The sequence below is a fragment of the Homo sapiens genome, chromosome 20, assembly GCF_000001405.40.
Source record: "Homo sapiens chromosome 20, GRCh38.p14 Primary Assembly".
NCBI classification, from domain to species: Eukaryota; Metazoa; Chordata; class Mammalia; order Primates; family Hominidae; genus Homo; species Homo sapiens.
In genome coordinates this window covers 5,084,853-5,105,825 of record NC_000020.11, presented here as the reverse complement: position 1 = coordinate 5,105,825, position 20,973 = coordinate 5,084,853, and the positions used below count along the sequence as shown (strand labels likewise).

The following is a 20,973-nucleotide window of genomic DNA, read 5'->3' as shown; positions in this document are numbered from 1 at the left end:
GTCAAGCAGTCTGCCTGCCTCAGCCTTCCAAAGTGCTGGGATTGCAGGTGTGAACCATTGCCCCTGGCCAATTTTTTTTCCAATTTTTATGGGTACATAGTAGGTGTATATACTTAGGGGATACATGAGGTATTTTGATACAGCCATGCATTCATAATAATCACATCAGGCTAAATGGGGTATCCATCCCCTCAAGCATTCATCATTTGTATTACATTCCAATTATACTTTTATTTATTTATTTATTTTGAGACAGAGTCAGGCTGGAGTGCAGTGGCATAATATCGGCTAACTGCAACCTCCGCCTCCCAGGTTCATGCTATTCTTGTGCCTCAGCCTCCCGAGTAGCTGGAATTACAGACGTGCGCCACCGCACCCGGCTAATGTTGGTATTTTTAGTAGAGATGGGGTTTCGCCATGTTGCCCAGGCTGGCCTCCCAAAGTGTTGGGATTACAGGCATGAACCACTGTGCCTGGCCTATTTTTAGTTATATATATACATATACACATACATACATACATACATATATATATATTTTGGAGACAGAGTCTTGTTCTGTCACCCAGGCTGGAGTGCAGTGGCAGGATCTCAGCTCACTGCAAACTCCGGCTCGTGGGTTCAAGTGATTCTCCTGCCTCAGCCTCCTGAGTTAGCTGGGACTATGGTGGCAAGCCAGCACACTTGGCTTATTTTTGTATTTTTAGTAGAGATGGGTTTTTGCCATGTTGGCCAGGCTGGTCATGAACTCCTGACCTCAAGCGGCCTGCCCGCGTGGGCCTCCTAAAGTGCTGGGATTACAGGCGTGAGCTACCACGTCCAGCCTTAGTTATTATATTTTTAAATGTACAATAAATTATTCTCTAGTCACTTTGTGCTATCAAATACTAGAGCTTATTCATTCTATGTAACTATATTTTGTACCCGTTAACCTTCCCCATTCCCCCCTACCTTTCCCAGCCTTTGGTAACCATCATTCTACAATATCCATGAGTTCAATTGTTTTAATTTTTAGTTCCCGCAAATGAGTGAGAACATGGAAAGTGTGTCTTTCTGTGCCTGGCTTAATTTCACTTAACATAACGTTCTCCAGTTTCATCCATGTTGTTGCAAGTGACAGGATCTCATTCTTTTTAGTGGCTGAATAGTACTCCATTGCATATATGTACCATATTTTCTTTATTCACTTGTCTGTTGAAGAACACTTTGGTTGCTTCCAGATCTTGGCTGTTGTGAATAGTGCTGTCATAAATATGGAAGTGCAGATACCTCTTTGATAAACTGATTTCCTTTCTTTTGGGTATATACCTAGCTGTGATTGCTGGATCATATGGTAGTTCTATTTCATACTGTTCTCCATAGTGGCTATACTAATTTACATTCCCATCAACATTGTACGAGGGTTCCCTTTTCTCCACGTCCTCGCTAGCATTCGTTATTGCCGTTTTTTTTGGATAAAAGCCATTTTGGCTGGGTGCAGTGGCTCACGCCTGTAGTCCCAGCACTTTTGGAGGCCGAGGCAGGAGGATCACTTGAGCCCAGGAGTTCGAGACCAGCCTGCGCAACATAGCGAGACCTTGTGTCTATATTTTTTAAAAAGCCATTTTAACTAGGATGAGATGATATCTCATTGTAGTCTTGATTTGCATTTCTTTGATCAATGATGTTAAGCACCTTTTCATATACCTATTTGCCATTTGTATGTCTTCTTTTGAGAAATGCCCATTTTTGATTGGATTATTAGATTTTTTTTCCTACAGAGTTTGAGCTCCTTATATATTCTGGTTATTAATTCCTTGTCAGATGGATACTTTGCATATATTTTTTCCCATTCTGTGGGTTGTCTCTTCCTTTGCTGTACAGAAGCTTTTTAACCGGATGTGATCTCATTTATCTGTTTTTGTTTTGGTTGCTTGTGCTTTTGGGGGCATTACTCAAGAAATCTTTGCCCAGTCCAGCATCCTGGAGAGTTTCCCCCATGTTTTCTTATAGTAGTTTCATAGTTTTAGGTCTTACATTTAAGTGTTTAATCCATTCTCATTTGATTTTTGTATATGTCAAGAGATTTGAGGGGTCTAGTTTCATTCTTCAGCATATGGATATCCAGTTTTCCTAATACCATTTATTGAAAAGACTGGTTCTTTCCCCAGTGTATGTTTTTTTGTTTTTTGGTTTTTTTGTTTGTTTTTTTTTTTTTGAGACAGAATCTCACTGTGTCATCCAGGCTGGAGTGCAGTGGCACCATCTCGGCTCACTGCAACCTCAGCCTCCCAAATAACTGGGACCACAGGCATGTGCCACCACACTTGGTTAATTTTTTTTTCATTTTTTGTATAGATGAGGTTTTGCCGTGTTGCCCAGGCTGATCTCGAACTCCTAGACTCAAGCAGTCCAGGAGTACAGTGGTGTGATCACAGCTCTCTGCAACCTCAATCTTCAGGGCTCAGTCGATCCTCCCACCTCAGCTTCCCAAGTAGCTGGAGTTACAGGTGTGAGTCACCATACCTAGCTAATTTTTTTGTTTGTTTGGTAGAGATGAGATCTCATTATGTTGCCCAGGCTGGTCTTAAACTCCTAGGCTCAAGCAATCCTCCTGCCTCAGCCTCCCAAAGTGCTGGAATTACAGGCTTTAGCCACTGCACCCCTCTGACTATGTTTCCCGTTGTGTGTTAATTATGGTCAGTGTGAGGCCCACCCTAGCCTCCCAAAGTACTGGGATTACAGGCGTGAGCCACCACACCCGGTGGATGTAGAATTTTATCAAATGCTTTTCTAGCATCGATTGAAATAATCATATGGTTTTTGTCCTTCATTCTGCTGATACGATTTTATCACATTGATTGGTTTGTATAAGTTGAACCATCCTTGCCTCTCTGGGATAAATCCCACTTGGTCCTGATGAATGATCTTTTTAATGTATTGTTGAATTCAGTTTGCTAGTATTATCCTCCTTATTGAGGATTTTTGCATCAATGTTCATCAGGGATATTGGCCTATTTTTGTTTTTTCGATGTGTCTTTGCCTAGTTTTGGTATCAGGGTAAAACTGGCCTAGTAGAATCAGTTTGGAAGTATTCTCTCCATGTCTGTTCAGAATAGTTTCAGTAGGATTAGTATTCTTTTTTTTTTTTTTTTTTTTTGAGACAGGGTCTCATCTGTCATGCAGGTGTAGTGCAGTGGTGCGATCTCAGCTCACTGCAACCTTTGCCTCCCCGGCTTATGTGATCCTGCCACCTCAGCCTCACTAGCAACTGGGACCACAGGCATATACCACCATGCCCATCTAATTTTTGTATTTTTTGTCAAGACAGGATTTTACCATGTTGACCAGGCTGGTCTTGAAATCCTGAGCTCAAGCGATCTGCCTGCCTTGGCCTCCCAAAGTGCTGGGATTACAGGAGTGAACCACCATGCCCAGCCAAGTATTAATTCTTTAACTGGTATAATTCAGCAGCGAAACCATCTAGTCCCAGGCTTCTCTCTGCTAAGAGACTTTTTATTATGGCCTTAATCTCATTACTCTTTGTCTATTCAGGTTTTAGATTTTTTTCATTGTTCAATCTTTGTTTTTATATTCATGTCTGGTACAGCAGATTCCAGCAGAAAAACCAAAAAGATTTTCTTTTACATTTTGTTCTCTGTTGGCAAAACATGTTTTTCTTCCTTTGAGCAACAGTAAACTTCCATAGTTCCTATAGGGGAGGTGGTGGCAGGTAGGCAAACTTGGCCTCTGAGATATTAGACAGTTTGCCCTGTCATAGTTTGGAACAACATGGCTGAGCCTGGCATACAGGAGTCCTGATTGGTAAAGGGCTGTAGCTGGAGCAGCATGCTGTCATTGTAGCTGTGCAGTGCCATGGACATACTGTCAGTATTTGGAGAGAAATAGCAATTCTGTTATATGTGTGGGGTCACTGTGCCTCGTAAGTCAGTTCCTTCTTACAGTAGGTTTGGTTGGAGTTCCTGTTGAGCTTCAATATGAAACCTTAGAAACCTAAAGTAGTTGGTGGTTCTTTCTCATGGGCTGTCCCCACATACACAGTGTCCAAGTTGTCTTGAACCAATTCTGACTATAATTAACACACAACAGGGAACACAGCCAGCCAGGTGCAGTGGCTCAAGCCTATAATTCTAGCATTTTGGGAGGCTGAGGCAGGAGGATTGCTTGAGCCCCAGAGTTCGAGACCAGCCTGGGCAACATAGCGAGACCTCATCTCTACCAAACAAACAAATGTACAAAATGAGCCAGGTATGGTGACTGACACCTGTAACTCCAGCTACTTGGAGGCTGAGGTGGGAGGATCACTTGAGCCTGGGAAGTCGAGGTTGCAGTGAGCTGTAATCACACCACTGTACTCCAGCCCGAGCAACAGAGCAAGACTCTTACCTCAAAAAAAAAGAAAAAAGAGAAAGAAAAGAAAACCTGAAAGGCTGAGAAAAACACAGAGTTTATTGTAGTGGTATCTGTACAATTACAAAAGGTGAAAAACAACCAAAGTGTCCAGCAGCTGTATGTGGGGCAGTTAGGTAAAACTGTAGTATGTCCATTTCGGTGGAATGTTACACATCCTTACAGTTTAAATGTATGAAAAGGTTTTAATAATATTGGCCACAGGACACAGAGTATGGTGTGTTCACAACTAAGAGCTTTAAAAAAAGGAAAAGAAGCCAAAATATCTGGATGAGAATGGGTCATTTTTTTCTTTATAATTGTTAATATTTTGTAGTTTGTCTTCAATTTATAATCAGGAGGAAACCTTTTCCCTTGGTGGTATACAACTCAAAGAAAAAGTACTGAAGAGTATAAAATACTGATCTAAGGATTAGGTCTGTGACGTTTTATTTTAAAATGTGTAACTCTTACGGTACTAATGTGTTTGCCTCCTTCTGCCACCAGGGGGCAGACCGGGCCGTTCCAGTGCTGATCATTGGCATTCTGGTGTTCCTACCCGGATTTTACCACCTGCGCATCGCTTACTATGCATCCAAAGGCTACCGTGGTTACTCCTATGATGACATTCCAGACTTTGATGACTAGCACCCACCCCATAGCTGAGGAGGAGTCACAGTGGAACTGTCCCAGCTTTAAGATATCTAGCAGAAACTATAGCTGAGGACTAAGGAATTCTGCAGCTTGCAGATGTTTAAGAAAATAATGGCCAGATTTTTTGGGTCCTTCCCAAAGATGTTAAGTGAACCTACAGTTAGCTAATTAGGACAAGCTCTATTTTTCATCCCTGGGCCCTGACAAGTTTTTCCACAGGAATATGTATCATGGAAGAATAGAGGTTATTCTGTAATGGAAAAGTGTTGCCTGCCACCACCCTCTGTAGAGCTGAGCATTTCTTTTAAATAGTCTTCATTGCCAATTTGTTCTTGTAGCAAATGGAACAATGTGGTATGGCTAATTTCTTATTATTAAGTAATTTATTTTAAAAATATCTGAGTATATTATCCTGTACACTTATCCCTACCTTCATGTTCCAGTGGAAGACCTTAGTAAAATCAAAGATCAGTGAGTTCATCTGTAATATTTTTTTTACTTGCTTTCTTACTGACAGCAACCAGGAATTTTTTTATCCTGCAGAGCAAGTTTTCAAAATGTAAATACTTCCTCTGTTTAACAGTCCTTGGACCATTCTGATCCAGTTCACCAGTAGGTTGGACAGCATATAATTTGCATCATTTTGTCCCTTGTAAATCAAGATGTTCTGCAGATTATTCCTTTAACGGCCGGACTTTTGGCTGTTTCCTAATGAAACATGTAGTGGTTATTATTTAGAGTTTATAGCCGTATTGCTAGCACCTTGTAGTATGTCATCATTCTGCTCATGATTCCAAGGATCAGCCTGGATGCCTAGAGGACTAGATCACCTTAGTTTGATTCTATTTTTTAGCTTGCAAAAAGTGACTTATATTCCAAAGAAATTAAAATGTTGAAATCCAAATCCTAGAAATAAAATGAGTTAACTTCAAACATTTCAGAAAACATTTTAATGATTTTATGATATCTTTAATCCCAGTACCTAGATCTACCTTAGTTTCTAGGTAGCTGGCATTGTGGGTCACACTCAACTTTCCCTAACTCTGAGGTTATGGACTTGGGCAACTGGAAGCCTGGACATGCCATCAGCTGAGTTGCAAGGCTGTGGGAAGAGCAAGTTTTAGATGTCTACTCAATATCCAAGTGGAGCTGTTGAGGAGGCAGTTGCGATGCATGTGTGTGTCTAGAGTTTAAGAGTGGGTCTTGGATGGAAATAGAAATTTGGGAGTCAGCATTTGGACAGTATCTTAAAAGCTAGAGGGCTGTTTGAGATCACCAGTAGAGTGAGTATAGTTGGAGGAAAAAAAAAAAACTCAGGAAGTGAGGGACAAAGAGAGGGTGACCTGAAGCAGCCTCCAAGATTAGGGACTTTTGGTAATGGGAATGTTGACTGGGGAGTCCAGTAATCTAGAGTGCCTGAGCCTTGACAGTGAATATGTGAGGTGATACATAAAGCTTTATCTTGGAGAGTGGTTGCCGAGCAAAGCTCAGATCAGAAGGTTTTGGCCAACCAAATGATTTGGTTTTTTTATTTATTATTGATTGATTGATTTATTTATTTATTTATTTATTTATTTATTTATTTATTTATTTTGAGACAGAGTCTTGCTCTACTGCCCAGGCTGGAGTGCAGTGGCACAGTCATTTCTCACTGCAGCCTTGAATTCCTGGGCTCAAGTGATCTTCCCACCTTTGCCTCCCAAAGTGTTGGGATTATAGGCATGAGCTACTGAGCCTGGCCTATTTGGTCCTTTTTTAAAAAGTTGATGCTGCTGGTCAAAAAAATAAACAGAAGGGTATAAAGTGAAAAGTAAACATTTGGGCATGGAGTGGAGAGTGTACATTCACTCCAGCTTACCTCTCAAGATTTTCCAAATAAATTTCTTAATATACCCTTCCTGAAATGCTCTAAGCACATAAATATATATCTGGTTTTTAAAACTTGGGCTCCCATTGTATGGTTCTATAATTTCCCCCCCCCAATTCTATTTTGTATATCTTTCCATATCCATGGAGATCAGTCATATTCTTGTTAATGCACATTATAAGTGTAGTTTTTCATACTATGCATTTAGTAGTCATAGGATCAGAGCAGAAATCAACCAACTTCCTACCTGGGGTAGGAATCTCCTCCAGAGTCCCCTGAGGAATGACCTTTGCTGCTCTGTTTGAACATTCACACTTGTAATCTCATTCCAGCTGGCATTGTTACAGAAGTATCATTTATGAAGCCAAAATCAGACTCCCTGCAACTTCTGTGTTTTGACCATAGTTGTATTATTTGGTGTTTTATAGAAAAGACCTAAACCTCTACGGCCATACTACCCTGAATGCTCCCGACCTCATCTGATCTTGGAAGCTAATCCGGGTCAGGCCTGGTTAGTACTCGGACGGGAGAAAAGATCTAAACCTCCATAATAATGTTGAACATTTCTTGACCCCTTTGCCAGATATTCTGCCAAATACTTTCATTACATATCTCATTTTAATCCTTAGAAAAATCCTGAGTTAGCCGGGCACAGTGGCTCATGCCTGTAATCCCCGCACTTTGGGAGCCCGAGGCGGGCGGATCACCTGAGTTTGGGAGTTTGACCGTCCTGACCAACATGGAGAAACCCCATCTCTACTAAAAATACAAAATTAGTTGGGCGTGGTGACACATGCCTGTAATCCCAGCTACTTGGGAGGCTAAGGCAGGAGAATTGCTTGAACCCGGCAGGCTAAGGTTGCGGTGAGCCAAGATCGCACCACTGCACTCCAGCCTGGGCAACAAAGCCAGACTCCGTCTCAAAAAAAAAAAAAAAAAAAAAAAAAATCCTGAGTTAGATAAGATTCTTAGGTAGGAAGTAGGTGAGATATTTGGGATTAAAGCCTGGGCCTGGTACGGTGGCTCACGCCTGTAATCCCAGCACTTGGGAGGCCGAGGTGGGTGGATCACTTGAGGTCAGGAGTTCAAGATCAGCCTGGCCTAAAAATACAAAAATTAGCTGGGTGTGGTGGCGGGCACCTATATCCCAGCTACTCAGGAGGCTGAGGCAGGAGAATCACTTGAACCCGGGAGGTGGAGGTTGCAATGAGCCTAGATCACACCACTGCACTCCAGATGGTGACAGAGTGAGACTCCGTCTCAAAAAAATAATAAAACAAAAAAAAATTATAAGGCAAAGCCTGAATTCCCTTTACCAGATATGACAGCCAAATGCTTTTAGGTACTGGGCCAGTGAAGAAATGGGGGAGGTGGGTATGGACAGTAGAAGTAGTTGGGGAACCGTGGTCAGTTGTCAGATGTATATTTTACCTGAAAGTAACCTCCTCCCCACTCCAAAGTGTTGACCAGACTATATATCCTAACTTTTTTAAAGGATGTTCTTATTTGCAACAACTCTTATGCCTCCTGTTAGTCATTTCCAAGGCTAAAAACCCTCTCCAGTTGCTTCAGCTGTTCTGCATATGATGGAAATTTCAGATCCGTTGCCACTCTGGTGGGTCTCTTGGTTGAGCTTCACGTGGTCATACCAGAGGCACTTCTGTTCTGCCAGGAATTGTGAGGTGCTGGAGGTACAACAGGAAAATATAGGACTGGGGTAATGAGGAGCACAGGTTGCAAACTAGCAGCCACATGTTGGCCTGCGTTTGAGGATTTATTTTTTGAATTGTTCCATTTTATTTTCTGACCACCTATCCCCAAGTTCTTTTCGTTTCTAAAAAGGGAAATGTTCACATGATCTTGATTTGGGACTTGAAAAATCAGGTAGTCCTTCATTGCAGAGAGGCTCCAGCCAACTAAAGTAAGGTAGTACAAGTTTTAGCTGAGTAGCATTCTCCAGTTCACTAAAGTTTCCACCACTCTTTTATATCCAGCATGCTAATTTTCCTCACTAAGGGCAAAGACTGTGTTTTAAACCCTCCCACAAAGCCTAGCACAGTGCTTGTGGGCACTTAGGTTTATCAAATGAAGAGCTGGAATCGTGTGCATTTCCATCCCAGGACACCATGTTCCTTTGAGGTATGGATAGGTAGGCAAGTACCTACCTACATTTACGTCAGACTCCTAAATGGCCTTCCACCAGCTGCCTAGCAGGCCAGCTGCTCTTCACACAGTTGGTGCTGCCTGGTCAGTCATGCCTCTGCCTGGCACCCTCTGCCCAGGCCAAGGAGCCCAGTTCATGACCTACCTGTACCAGCTGGCACAGGAGAACCTCCTGCCACTGGTGTATGGTAAGGGAACCTGGTAGAAGGACAGTAACAGCACTGGCTTTCTGCTTACCTTTGAAGGGTCCTATACCAATCAATGCACCTTAGTTGCCTTGATTTTTCATTAAGTTCCTATCCTGAGGCTTCTCTCCTAGATTCAGTCCCATAGGCTCCTGGCCTCACAGGTATGTAGTTCAGTGATGGGGCCTCAGTTTCCTTCTAAAGTGGGGATAGAACAATTCCTACCTCACAAGGTGATTGTGAGGATTAAATAAAAACAGTTCCAGATGGTGGTTCACACAGCCTGGCACAAAGTAAGCTGCTGTTTGAGAAAGTAAAGAGGATCACTGCTTTGGCTTCAGGGAGCAGAGCCTGGGATGAGGCAGAGGTGGAGGGAAGAGAGACCATCTGTTACCCTGTTGCCATCTTGAACCTGCTGTTCCATGGCAGAACCACCCCAGAGCCAGCGGCAGGAGCGAGGGTTGATTGCCAGCCCAGGCAGGGCTCCTCTCCCTGACAGCTGCTGACGGAGGGTGTGAGGAGGTCTCAGGCCCCTGGCCCTTTACCAGCATGTGGCTGGGCCTGGAAGGCTGTGTGCTCCAATCCTCTGGAAAAAGTGAAAGGCCCTGCAGGGAAGTCCTTGAAGACAAGAGGTTTTAGATCTGGAGCATCATCAGATCGCCTCTCATGGAGCTTGTTTTTCCTCTATTTTTTCACCTCCCCTCAGTCTTGCTCCTTGCTATGCAAATGCAGTCTGGTCTGTGGACCGGCAGCATCAACATCACTTGGGAAATTTGAAATGCAGAATCTTGGGCTCCTCTCCTAAATCGGTATCTGCATTGTAGCAAGAGCCCTGTATGTCAAGAACCCTACCTGTTAGTTGCATGTCAGTGTCTGAGAAGCGCTGACTGATGGGGGCCCAGTTTCCCTCCTAGTCCATCTCCTCACCTTGAGACTGGACCTCCTCAGGCAGTGCCAATGGGTGGCCCTGGGTGTGGGGGCACTTAGAGGGTATAGTCTGTCCTCTTTGATCCACTATTATTCTCTAGCTAAGACAGTAACTCCCAAAGTCTGCAGAAGCTTCATAGAAATGGCAGAGAAACAATGCAGGAAGACTTTGTGAAGATCATTTTTTGTGATCAGTGAGAAATCGAGACAGGAGTCCCAAAGATGAGGAAGGTCGGTGGCAGGAGTGGAACATGCTTCGGTTCCCTGAAGGCTCAGGGAAGGGGACGATGTGTAATTTATGACCCAGTGAGAGGCAGGATAGGTTTTCTTTCGATTTCTGTGGGAGGCAGGCCTGGTGCCTCAGGAGTTTACTCCGAACACTGGAGGTGCTGGCTTGCCTCCATCCGTGGGTCTCTAATGCCTCCGTTCTTTCATTCCTCTCACTAACACAAGAAGAGCCAACTAGAAAATGCTCCAACCTGAGGGTTAAAGTTTCTTGGCTAAGATGCTAATCCTTCCAGAGGGTTTTCTCTAGAATTAATGTCTACAGAGTTTGCCCTGAGACCACCATCCACCGCGCTGCTTTTGCCCCACAGCTGAACTAATGGCAGCAGCAAAATCACCAGCACATCCTGGGAGGGTCTGTGGCCTGGTAGAGTTGAAGAAAAGCAGTGCCCCTTTGCCCGTAGTTGTGAGGAGATGACTTACATTAGGAAATAGGAGGTGACCATGAGGAACCTGGGCAGTAAGACCAGCTGTCCCTGTAGCTGTGATCAGAAAAGTGTAAGCCTTAGCTTACTGATGGCACTGGGCATGGTGGCGAGCAACTGTAGTCCTAACTACTTAGGAGGCCAAGGTGGGAGGATCCCTTGAGGCCAAGAGTTCGAGACCAGCCTGGGCAGCAGATGTACAAATTTTTTTTTTTTTTTTTTTTTTTTGAGATGGAGTCTAGCTCTGTCCCAGGCTGGAGTGCCGTGGCGGGATCTCAGCTCACTGCAACCTCTGCCTCACATGTTCAAGCTATTCTCCTACCTCAGCCTTCTGAGTAGTTGGGATTACAGGCACGTGCCACCACGCCTGACTAATTTTTGTATTTTTAGTAGAGATGGGGTTTTACCATGTTGTCCAGGCTGGTCTCAAACTGCTGACCTCGTGATCCTCCCGCCTCAGCCTCCCAAAGTACTGGGATTACAGGCGTGAGCCACCATGCCTGGCCAAAAATTTTTTTTTAAAAATTAGCCAGGTGTGGTGGTGTGTGTCTGTAATCCTGGCTACTCAGGAAGCTGAGATGGGATCAGTTGAGCCCAGGGTTTGAAGCTACAGTGACCTGTGATGGTCCACTGGACTCCAGCCTGGGCAACAGAGTGAGACCTTGTCACTTAAAAAGGCCAGGTACGGTGGCTCACGCCTGTAATCCCAGCACTTTGGGAGGCCGAGGCAGGCGGATCATGAGGTCAAAAGTTCGAGACCAGCCTGAGCACCATGGTGAAACGCCGTCTCAACTAAAAATACAAAAATTAGCCAGGTATGGTGGCACGTGCCTGTAATCCCAGCTACTCAGGAGGCTGAGGCAGGAGAATCGCTTGAACCCGGGAGGCAGAGGTTGCAGTGAGCCAAGCCAAGATTGTGCCACTGCACTCCAGCCTGGGCGACAGAGCGAGACTCCATCTCACAAAGGAAAAAGGGGAAAAAAAAAGCTCACTGATCGGATTTGTTGATCGCTCCAAGTTTCCCCTGTTTTGGGATATCAGAGTTATTTCTAAGTATTTTACATTTTATATAGCTTTGATAAATGGGACCTTTTAGGCTGGGTGCAGTGTCACATGCCTGTAATCCCAGCACTTTGGGAGGCCAAGGCAGTCACATCACTTGAAGCCAGGAGCTGAAGACCAGCCTGGCCAACATGGCAAACCCTGTGTCTCTACTAAAAATACAAAAATCAGCCAGGCATGGTGGTGTACTCCTGTAATCCCAGCTAGTCGGGTGGCTGAGGCATGAGAATCACTTGAACCCGGGAGGTGGAGGTTGCAGTGAGCCGAGATGGTGCCACTGCACTCCAGCCTGGGCGACAGAGCAAGACTCCATCTCTAAATAAATAAATAAATCAGGCGCAGTGGCTCATGCCTGTAACCCCAGCACGTTGGGAGGCTGAGGCAGGCAGATTGCGTGAGCCCAGGAGTTCAAGACCAGCCTGGGCAACATGGCAAAACCCCATCTCTACAAAAAAATTAGCCAGGTATGGTGGCATGTGCCTGTAGTCCCAGTTACTCAGGAGGCTGAGATGGGAGGATAGCTTGAGCCCAGGAGGTGGAGGTTGCAGTGAGCCAAAATTGCACCACTGCACTCCAGCCTGGGCGACATAGACCCTCTCTCTACAAAATAACAAAATTAAAATAAAATAGGAAATAAAATGGAGGTTTTCTTATTCTTTTTTTTCTTTGAATAGTTCTTCGTTAATGTATAGAAACACTACTGATTTTTATATGTTAACGTTTGTATCCTACAACTTTATTTAGTTCTAACAGGTTTTTGGTGGTGTCTTTAGGGTTTTCTATATATAAGATCAGCCATCTGTAAATAGAGACAGTTTTACTTCTTCATTTCCAATTTGGAGGCCTGTCATTTCTTTTTCTCACCTAATGCTCTGGCTAGGATTTCCATTACTATGTCAAATATAAGTGGTGAGAGTGGGGATCCTTGTCTTGTTCCTGGTGTTAGTGGAAGAGCTTTCAGTATGTTCACTGCGAATTTGTCATGCAAGGTAAATTCCAAGGTACATCAAAGTACATTCCTTCTATACCTAACTTGTTGAGAGTTTTTACCATGAAAGGATGTCAGATTTTCTCAAATGCTTTTCTGCATCTATTGAGATGATCATGTGATTTTTGCCTTTCATTCTCTCTCTCTCTCTTTTTTTTTTTTTTTTTGAGACGGAGTTTTGCTCTTGTTGCCCAGGCTGGAGTACAATGGTGCGATCTCAGCTCACTGCAACCTCTGCCTCCGGGTTCAAGCGATTCTCCTGCCTCAACCTCCCAAGTAGCTGGGATTACAGGCATGTGCCACCACCTGGGCTAATTTTGTATTTTTAATAGAGACAGGGTTTCTCCATGTTGGTCAGGCTGGTCATGAACTCCCGACCTCAGGTGATCCGCCTGCGTCGGCCTCCCAAAGTGCAGGGATTACAGGCGTGAGCCACCGTGCCTGGCCTGCCTTTCTCTTAACGTGTGTATTACATTTACTGATATGCATATGTAGAACCCGGAATGTCAGAAAATGCCAAGTATTTTCCCCATTTAATGGGGAGTGAAACCACAGTGAGACCAAAAGCGCCATGGACTGATGCTGGCCCAGGATCGAGGACTCCTCATTCTGAACATCGACTCAAGATGATCTTCCACTATATTTTTCTCCCTGGTGTTTTCATCTCCCCACCTCCAGCAAGGGACAAGAAACTAATCTCTCTCTTGTCAATCGTATCAGACCAGCAATAAAAGAAGTTCAGTATCTCAGTGTGTGGAGATTACGACTTTGCAATCTAGGAAAACAAAGGAGGCAGGCACAAAGTCTCGAAAGTCACATAGGGTGTTGGCAGAGTAAGCTCACGTTTATATACCAAGTCCCAGGTCACCAAAACTTGAAACTTGAGAGTACTTTGGGAACAAAAGTATCTCTTCATTAAAACAAATAAACATTAACCAAAAAAGTAGACCACAGAACTTTGAATGCAGCTCTGTCTTGATGTACTTAGGTTCTCCAAATGTCTTAACTATTTACAGTGTCAGCTTTAATCTAACCTTGGTTTTTATCTCCAGACTTTGACTTAACTTTGCATATCAAGTCACCTTGAATTTGACCTTTATGTTTATCCATGAATTATTTTGGGGGCATCTACTACGGACATAGCTTTGGTAGGTATCAAAAAGGAATCGTCCACCATGCCCATCCTCCAGAAGTTTGCAATATACTTATGTAGAAATAGATCCATATTTGAAATAACTGAACAAATATAATAAGTAATATTAATAAATGAGTACAGTCAGCCCATCATATCCTTGGGTTCCACATCTGTAGATTCAACCAACTGCAGATCAAAGATATTTGGGAGAAAAAAAACAACAAAAATAGCAATACCAGCTGGGTGCGGTGGCTCACACCTGTAATCCCAGCACTTTTGGAGGCCGAGGTGGGTGGATCACCTGAGGTCAGGAGTTCAAGACCAGTCTGACCAACGTGGTGAAACCCCATCTCTACTAAAAATACAAAAATTAGCCAGGTGTAGTGATGCATACCTGTAATCCCAGCTACTTGGAAGGCCAAGGCAGGAGAATCACTTGAACCGGGGAGGCAGAGGTTGCCGTGAGCCCATTGCACTCCAGCCTGGGCAACAAGGGCGAAGCTCCATCTCAAAAAAACAAAAAACAGTAAAACAGTAACAAAATAACAACAACAACAAAAATCCTTACAAAGAATAAAAAAATTAGCTGGGCTCTGTGACCCATACCTGTAGTCCCAGCTACTTGGGAGGCTGAAGTGGGAGGTTCGCTTGAGTCCACGAGTTCAAGGCGGCAGTGAGCCATGATCTCGCCACTGCACTTCAGCCTGGGTGACAGCGAGACCCTGCCTAAAAAAAAATTCAACAAGGCTTATCATGAAAATCAGTAGTTCTTGGCAACCCCTCTTTCCTTTCTCTCCAAGAGACAACCACCTTCAGTTCTTCCAGATGAATATTTTAGTATTAACTTTCATTTCCATGTGAAATATTTTTATTACCATTTCACAATTGTTCAGTATTAGGCCTTATCAATTGACTATATCTAGTGGTGCAGATTGGGCTGCTCTTTGGTCATCCTTCATCGCAGACACGTGCTTTCAGTCCCTCCATTTGTCCATATAATTGTGTCATTTTGGTTGGATCAATATTAATATTGATATTGCTAAGGATACACAAACGCTATTCATAGCTGAACCAGAACACTTAGTATGACTTCTTTTCCTTCTGACACAACTTTTAGTTTCTCATTGGAGTTAATAATCATGTTTATTTGCATGATTTTCTATGTATCTGTCTCTAGTTAAGCCCAAACTGACCCCATTTGTATATATCCCCTAGTCTCCCATCCGTTTCATCTGAAAGAACTCTCTCCATAAAGGAGGCTGCTGCCCTGTCCTCTTCCTGCCCATTGTCCCTCTGAGGGGAGGAAGTGACTGTAGTGCCTTCTGGCTTCCTGCGTGACTTCTGATTCTTGGTTCCTCCTTTGTCGTCATTTTTCTCTCTCGATGCTTGTAGAATTGTCTTCAGTGTTCTGAAATTTCACAATGCATGTCCTGCTGTTGGCCTATTTCTATTCAGCACCCATTACCCATTGTGCCAGGTGCTCTTGGCCCTTTCAGTCTGGAAACTCATGTCCTTTAGTGTTAGGGAATTTTCTGAAATTAATTTATTTGATAATTTATTTCACTCATACCTTGGTTTCCTATTTCTGGAATTTTTTCATTAGATGTCAGTCCTTTTCTATTTTTCATATTTTTGTCTCTTTTCCATATTTTGTCTTTTTGATCTCCTTTGTGGAAGATTTCCTCAGTTTTTTTCTTTCAACTCCTCTGTCATCTTTTCTTTTCTTTTCTTTTTTGAGATGGAGTCTTCTGCCACCCAGGGAGGAGTGCAGTGGCACGATAGCCCACTGCAACCTCCGCCCCCCAGGTTCAAGCGATTATCCTGCCTCAGCCTCCCAAGTAGCTGGGATTACAGGCACGTGCCACCATGCCTGGCTAATTTTTGTATTGTTTACTAGAGATGGGGTTTTGCCCTGTTGGCCAGGCTGGTCTCGAACTCCTGACCTCAGGTCTCGTCCTCCCAAAGTGCTGGATTACAGGCATGAGCCACTGTGCAGCCCTCTGTTATACTTTCCACTACTGTTTTTTGTTTTTGTTTTTCCTTTTTTAAGACAGAGTCTCACTCTGTTGCCCAGGCTGGAGTGCAGTGGGGCGATCTCAGCTCATTGCAGCCTTTGCCTCACAGGCTTAAGCAATTCTCCTGCCTAAGCCTCCCAAGTAGCTGGGATTACAAGCCTGTGCCACCACACCCAGATAATTTTTGTATTTTTAGTGGAGACGGGGTTTTGCCATGTTGATCAGGCTGGTCTCAAACTACTGGCCTCAAAGTGATCTTCCCACCACGGCCTCCCAAAGTGCTGGGATTACAGGCATGAGCCACTATACCCAGCCTTCTACTCTTCTGTTACTATTTTTTTCTTTTCTTTTTTTTTTTGGAACAGATTCTCGCTCTGTTGCCCAAGCTGGAATGCAGTGGGGTGATCTTGGCTCACTGCAACCCCCGCCTCCCAGGTTCAAGCGATTCTCCTGCCTCAGTCTCCCTAATAGCTGGGACTATAGGTGCGTGCCACCACGCCCGGCTAATTTTTTTGTATTTTTAGTAGAGACAGGGTTTCACCGTGTTAGCCAGGATGGTCTTGATCTTCTGACCTCGTGATCTGCCTGCTTCGGCCCTGCAAAGTGCTGGGATTGCAGGCGTGAGCCACCACACCCAGCTCTGTTACTTGCTATCATGGTTTTAATGTCCAAGGACCCTTTTTCACATTTTACAGCAATCAGTTTTTATTTCGTGACCATAACATTTTTATCTCAGTATATTATCAACATAAAATAGTCACTTATCAGCACAGCAGTCAGAGTGATCCCTTTAAAATCTATTATACTAAGTTCCCACCCACACTCAGATGAACTTGATGTCATTTAACAGTATCATTCCACCTGCTGCTTAGACTGCCTATCACCGTTGCCTCCTCTACAGTTATTAAACCTGGTTCTGGGTTGGGCATGGTGGCTCACGCCTGTAATATCAGCACTTTGGGAGGCTGAGGTGGGAGGATCTCTTGAGCTCAGGAGTTTGAAACCAGCCTGGGTAACATAGTGAGACCCCATCTACAAAAAAATTTTTTTTAATTAAGCCAGGCATGGTGGCATGTGCCAGTGGTCCCAGATACTCAGGGAGCTAAGATGGGAGGATCCTTGAGCCCAGGAGGTGGAGACTGCAGTCAGCTGTGATCATGCTACCGCACTCTAGCCAGGTGAGTGCAGTAGGCTCATGCCTATAATCCCAGCACTTTGGGAGGCTGAGGCAGGAGGATTAAAAAAACCACCTGATTGCTTCCCCATTGCCCACCCTTCTGCTGACCTAGCTGAGTTAGGAGACACGAACACAGCTTCATTTTTCAAATCTCTGTCTCCCGTGGAAAATGCTGGCTTTTTTTCCCTTTTAAGGGAGGTTGGTTTGAATTAATTGTGTTTGAAACCTTTTTTTTTTTTTTTTTTTTGAGACAGAGTCTCCCTCCGTTGCCCAGGCTGGAGTACAGTGGCACGACCTCGGCTCACTGCAAGCTCTGCCTCCCGGGTTCAAGCAATTCTCCTGTGTCAGCCTCCAGAGTAGCTGGGATTACAGGCATGCGCCACCACGCCAGGCTAGTTTTTGTATTTTTAGTAGAGATGGGGTTTCACCATGTTGGCCAGGCTGGTTTCAAACTCCTGACCTCAGGCAATCCGCCCACCTTGGCCTCCCAAAGTGCTGGGATTACAGGCGTGAGCCACCATGCTTGGCCTTGAAACTTTTTTTTTTTTTTTTAGGTATATCCTGGCTGGGTGTGGTGGCTCATGCCCGTAATCCCAGCACTTTGGGAGGCCACCGCGGGCAGATCACTTGAGGCCAGGAGTTTGAGACTCACCTGGCCAACATGTTGAAACCCCATCTCTACTACAAATATAAAAATTAGCCAGGCGTGGTGGTACACGCCTGTAATCCCAGCTACTCCACCGAATGCCTCTTCTCATCTTTACCCAAAGGAGCTTGTTTTTCTCTGGTGTCAGGAGTTGTGATATGGATTTCCTATTCTAATCTTCTAGTCCCAGGAAAAAAAAAAAAAAAAAAAAAAGCCATACTTTCTTTGGCCTATTTACCAGATTTAGGTGATAAGCTGAGAGTGAAGAGAAGGGCTGGACCCCCAGCTAGGGTAGGGGACAGGAAGCCAGGCTCTACCCAGGCCAGGGGAGAGGAGGTAGAGGTTGTAGATTGTACCACTGCATTCCAGCCTGTGAGACAGAATGAGACTCTGTCTCAAAAAAAAAAATATGTCCTCTTACTCCTTCCTTACTCCCATCCCCTACCTTAGCTGGGGGACCAGCCCTTCTCTTCACTCTCAGCTCATCATCTAAATCTGGAAAGCACCTGGAGTGTACAAAGCCTGGCAAAGACCTAGCAATGATCAGGTCCCAAAGTTTAAAACCCTGTGAGTAATTGATACTTTGGAGTGAAGGCTGGAAAGGAAGGTTGTTGTCTAGGAGGGAAACAGCTACATGTTGAAATCTGGACACAGCTGAGGCCGTGATGGTGTCTCTGTCTTCTAGGGTCAGTCTTGGGTTTTCCTGTCATCTTCCAGACTTTGAAAAATAATTGTTGGCCGGCCATGGCGGCTCATGCCTATAATCCCAGCACTTTGTGAGGCTGAGGCAGGAGGATTGCTTGCATCTGTGAGTTCGAGACCAGCCTGGGCAAAATAGCAAGACCTCATCTCTACAAAAAAATCAAAAATTAGCTGAGCATGGTGGTGCATGCCTGAAGTCCCAGCGACTTGGAAGGCTGAGGCGGGATGATTGCTTGAGCCTGGGAGGTCGAGGCTCCAATGAGCCATGGTCACACCACTGCACTCAGCCTGGGGGACAGAGTGGGACTCTGTGTCAAAAAAATAACTAAACAAATAAGAAATTAGCCAGGCGTGGCAGTGTGCATCTGTAGTCCCAGCTACTTGGGAGGCTGAGGTGGGAGGATTGCTTGAGGCTAGAAGGTTGAGGCTACAGTGAGTTGTGATTGTGCCACTGTACTCCACTCTGAGCAACAGAGCAAGACCCTACCTCAAAAAAAAAAAGATAAAAAGATAAATAATTGTTTATTTAAATATGGAATTATAGTAAGCAAAATATTAAAGACTCCATATTAACAATCTGTCATTGTATTCTTCCAGAAAAAAAAGCATATATAAAAATATATACAGATACTTTTTTTTCTTTTTCTTCTTTTTTTTTTTTTTTTTTTTGAGACAGAGTCTGGCTCTGTTGCCCAGGCTGGAGTGCAGTGGCGTGATCTCGTCTTACTGCAAGCTGCGCCTCCCGGGTTCATGCCATCCTCCAGCCTTAGCCTCCCAAGCAGCTGGGACTACAGGCGCACGCCACCACGCCTGGCTAATTTTTTGTATTTTTAGTAGAGATGGGGCTTCACCATGTTGGCCAGGCTGGTTTTGAACTCCTGACCTCAAGTGATCCACCCGCCTCAGCCTCCCAAAGTGCTGGGATTACAGGCGTGAGCCACCGTGGCTGGCCAATACTTTTTTTTTTTTTTTTTTTTAATAGAAATGAGGTCTCACTATGTTGCCCAGGCTGGTCTCAAACTCCTGCTCAAGTGATCCTCCCACCTTGGCCTCCCAAAGTGCTGGGATTACAGGCACGAGCCACCGCACCCAGCTGCATATTAAAACCCTTTTCATTGTGAACTATAATACATACATGGAAAAGCACATGAACCTAAATGTATAGCTTAAATTATAAAAGTGGAAGTTCAAGGATGTACTACCCAAGTCAAGAAGCATGACGTGGGCATCTGGACTGATGGAGCAGCCTGTGAGAGGAGCACCTGTGAGAGGTGACACGGCAGGTATGGCCTGACAACCACCTGCTTTCTTATGGCTAAGAGGTTGTAACACGAGGGGCCTTGGGAGAGGATGCAGGCAGGTGAGATATTGGAGAGTCCTTTATGTCATGGAAAAGAGCCTGGCCTCCCGTCCCCTACCCTAGCTGGGGGTCCAGCCCTTCTCTTCACTCTCAGCTCATCATCTAAATCTGGTAAATAAGCCCAAATAAAGTATGGCTTTTTTTTGTCTGGGACTACAAGATTAGAACAGGAAACCCATATCACAACTCCTGACACCAGAGAAAAACAGGCTCCTTTGGGTAAAGATGTAAAGAGGAACTTGGCTCATGAAAAGATTCAGGAAGCCAGGCGCAGTGGCTCACTGTAATCTCAGCACTTTGGGAGGCCGAGGCGAGCAGGTCACTTGAGGTGAGAAGTTTGAGACCAGCCTGGCCACCATGGTGAAACCCTGTCTCTACTAAACATACAAAAATTAGCAGGGCATGGTGGCGCATGCCTGTAATTCCAGCTACTCAGAAGGCTGAGGCATGAGAATTATTTGAATCCAGGAGGCAGAGGTTGCAGTGAGCTGAGATTGTGCCACTGCACTCCAGCCTGGGTGACAGAGTGAGACTCTGTCTCAAAAAAAAAGAAAAAAAGAAAAACAAAAAAAGATTCAGGAGCATGAAAAAAAAAATGGAACAGGAGAATTGGAGGAGAGTTGCTACCTGCAACAGGAGAAACTTGTACAAAAAGAAGGTTTGTACCTACGGTGAGATCAGAGAGGATGTTGTAGGTGGCAATCTGGAGTCCAAGAATACAGCCTTCAGATGAAATTCTGGATTCAGGGATAAACTTTCAGGTAACAGGATATTAGGTACAACCTTGTGTGTGAGTTAAAAAATGGAAATGAAGTGGACTTTTTAAAAATAAATGAAATGGACTATTTTAAAAATAAAATATAAATTACTAAAATTGACTCAGGAAGAAATAGAAAATTGGAATAAACCAGCTAACTCTGGAGGATGGGAAAAGAGTCACCAGAGATGTTATGTTGCATCAACAGTGGCCTGGATAAAGAAAACGTGGTACATAT

The 20,973-nt window shown here is 44.3% G+C and overlaps 1 protein-coding gene and 1 pseudogene across 14 annotated transcripts in view, besides 2 other annotated features; both read left to right on the top strand.

The window, feature by feature from the left end:
• The window catches only part of TMEM230 (transmembrane protein 230), a 53,961-nt gene that overhangs the window by 7,251 nt on the left and 25,737 nt on the right, over window positions 1-20,973 (top strand). For 8 of the 14 annotated variants that reach the window (NM_001009925.2, XM_047440132.1, NM_001423980.1 and 5 more), the window contains one exon: window positions 4,895-5,976. The exons of the other annotated variants lie outside the window; for them this stretch is intronic. In NM_001009925.2, coding sequence (NP_001009925.1) covers window positions 4,895-5,035 — 141 coding nt within the window. In that variant the 3' untranslated portion in view covers window positions 5,036-5,976. Of the gene's footprint in view, window positions 1-4,894; window positions 5,977-20,973 lie in introns of those variants that run through there. 14 annotated transcript variants of the gene reach the window in all.
• Window positions 7,350-7,439, top strand: RNA5SP474 (RNA, 5S ribosomal pseudogene 474; annotated as a pseudogene).
• Window positions 15,475-15,524: an enhancer, noted in NCBI's record as "active region_17509". NCBI's record gives its function as "activates an Ori minimal core promoter by ATAC-STARR-seq in GM12878 lymphoblastoid cells {active_cell/tissue: GM12878}" and the evidence as "EXISTENCE:reporter gene assay evidence [ECO:0000049][PMID:35858748]".
• Window positions 15,535-15,594: an enhancer, noted in NCBI's record as "active region_17508". NCBI's record gives its function as "activates an Ori minimal core promoter by ATAC-STARR-seq in GM12878 lymphoblastoid cells {active_cell/tissue: GM12878}" and the evidence as "EXISTENCE:reporter gene assay evidence [ECO:0000049][PMID:35858748]".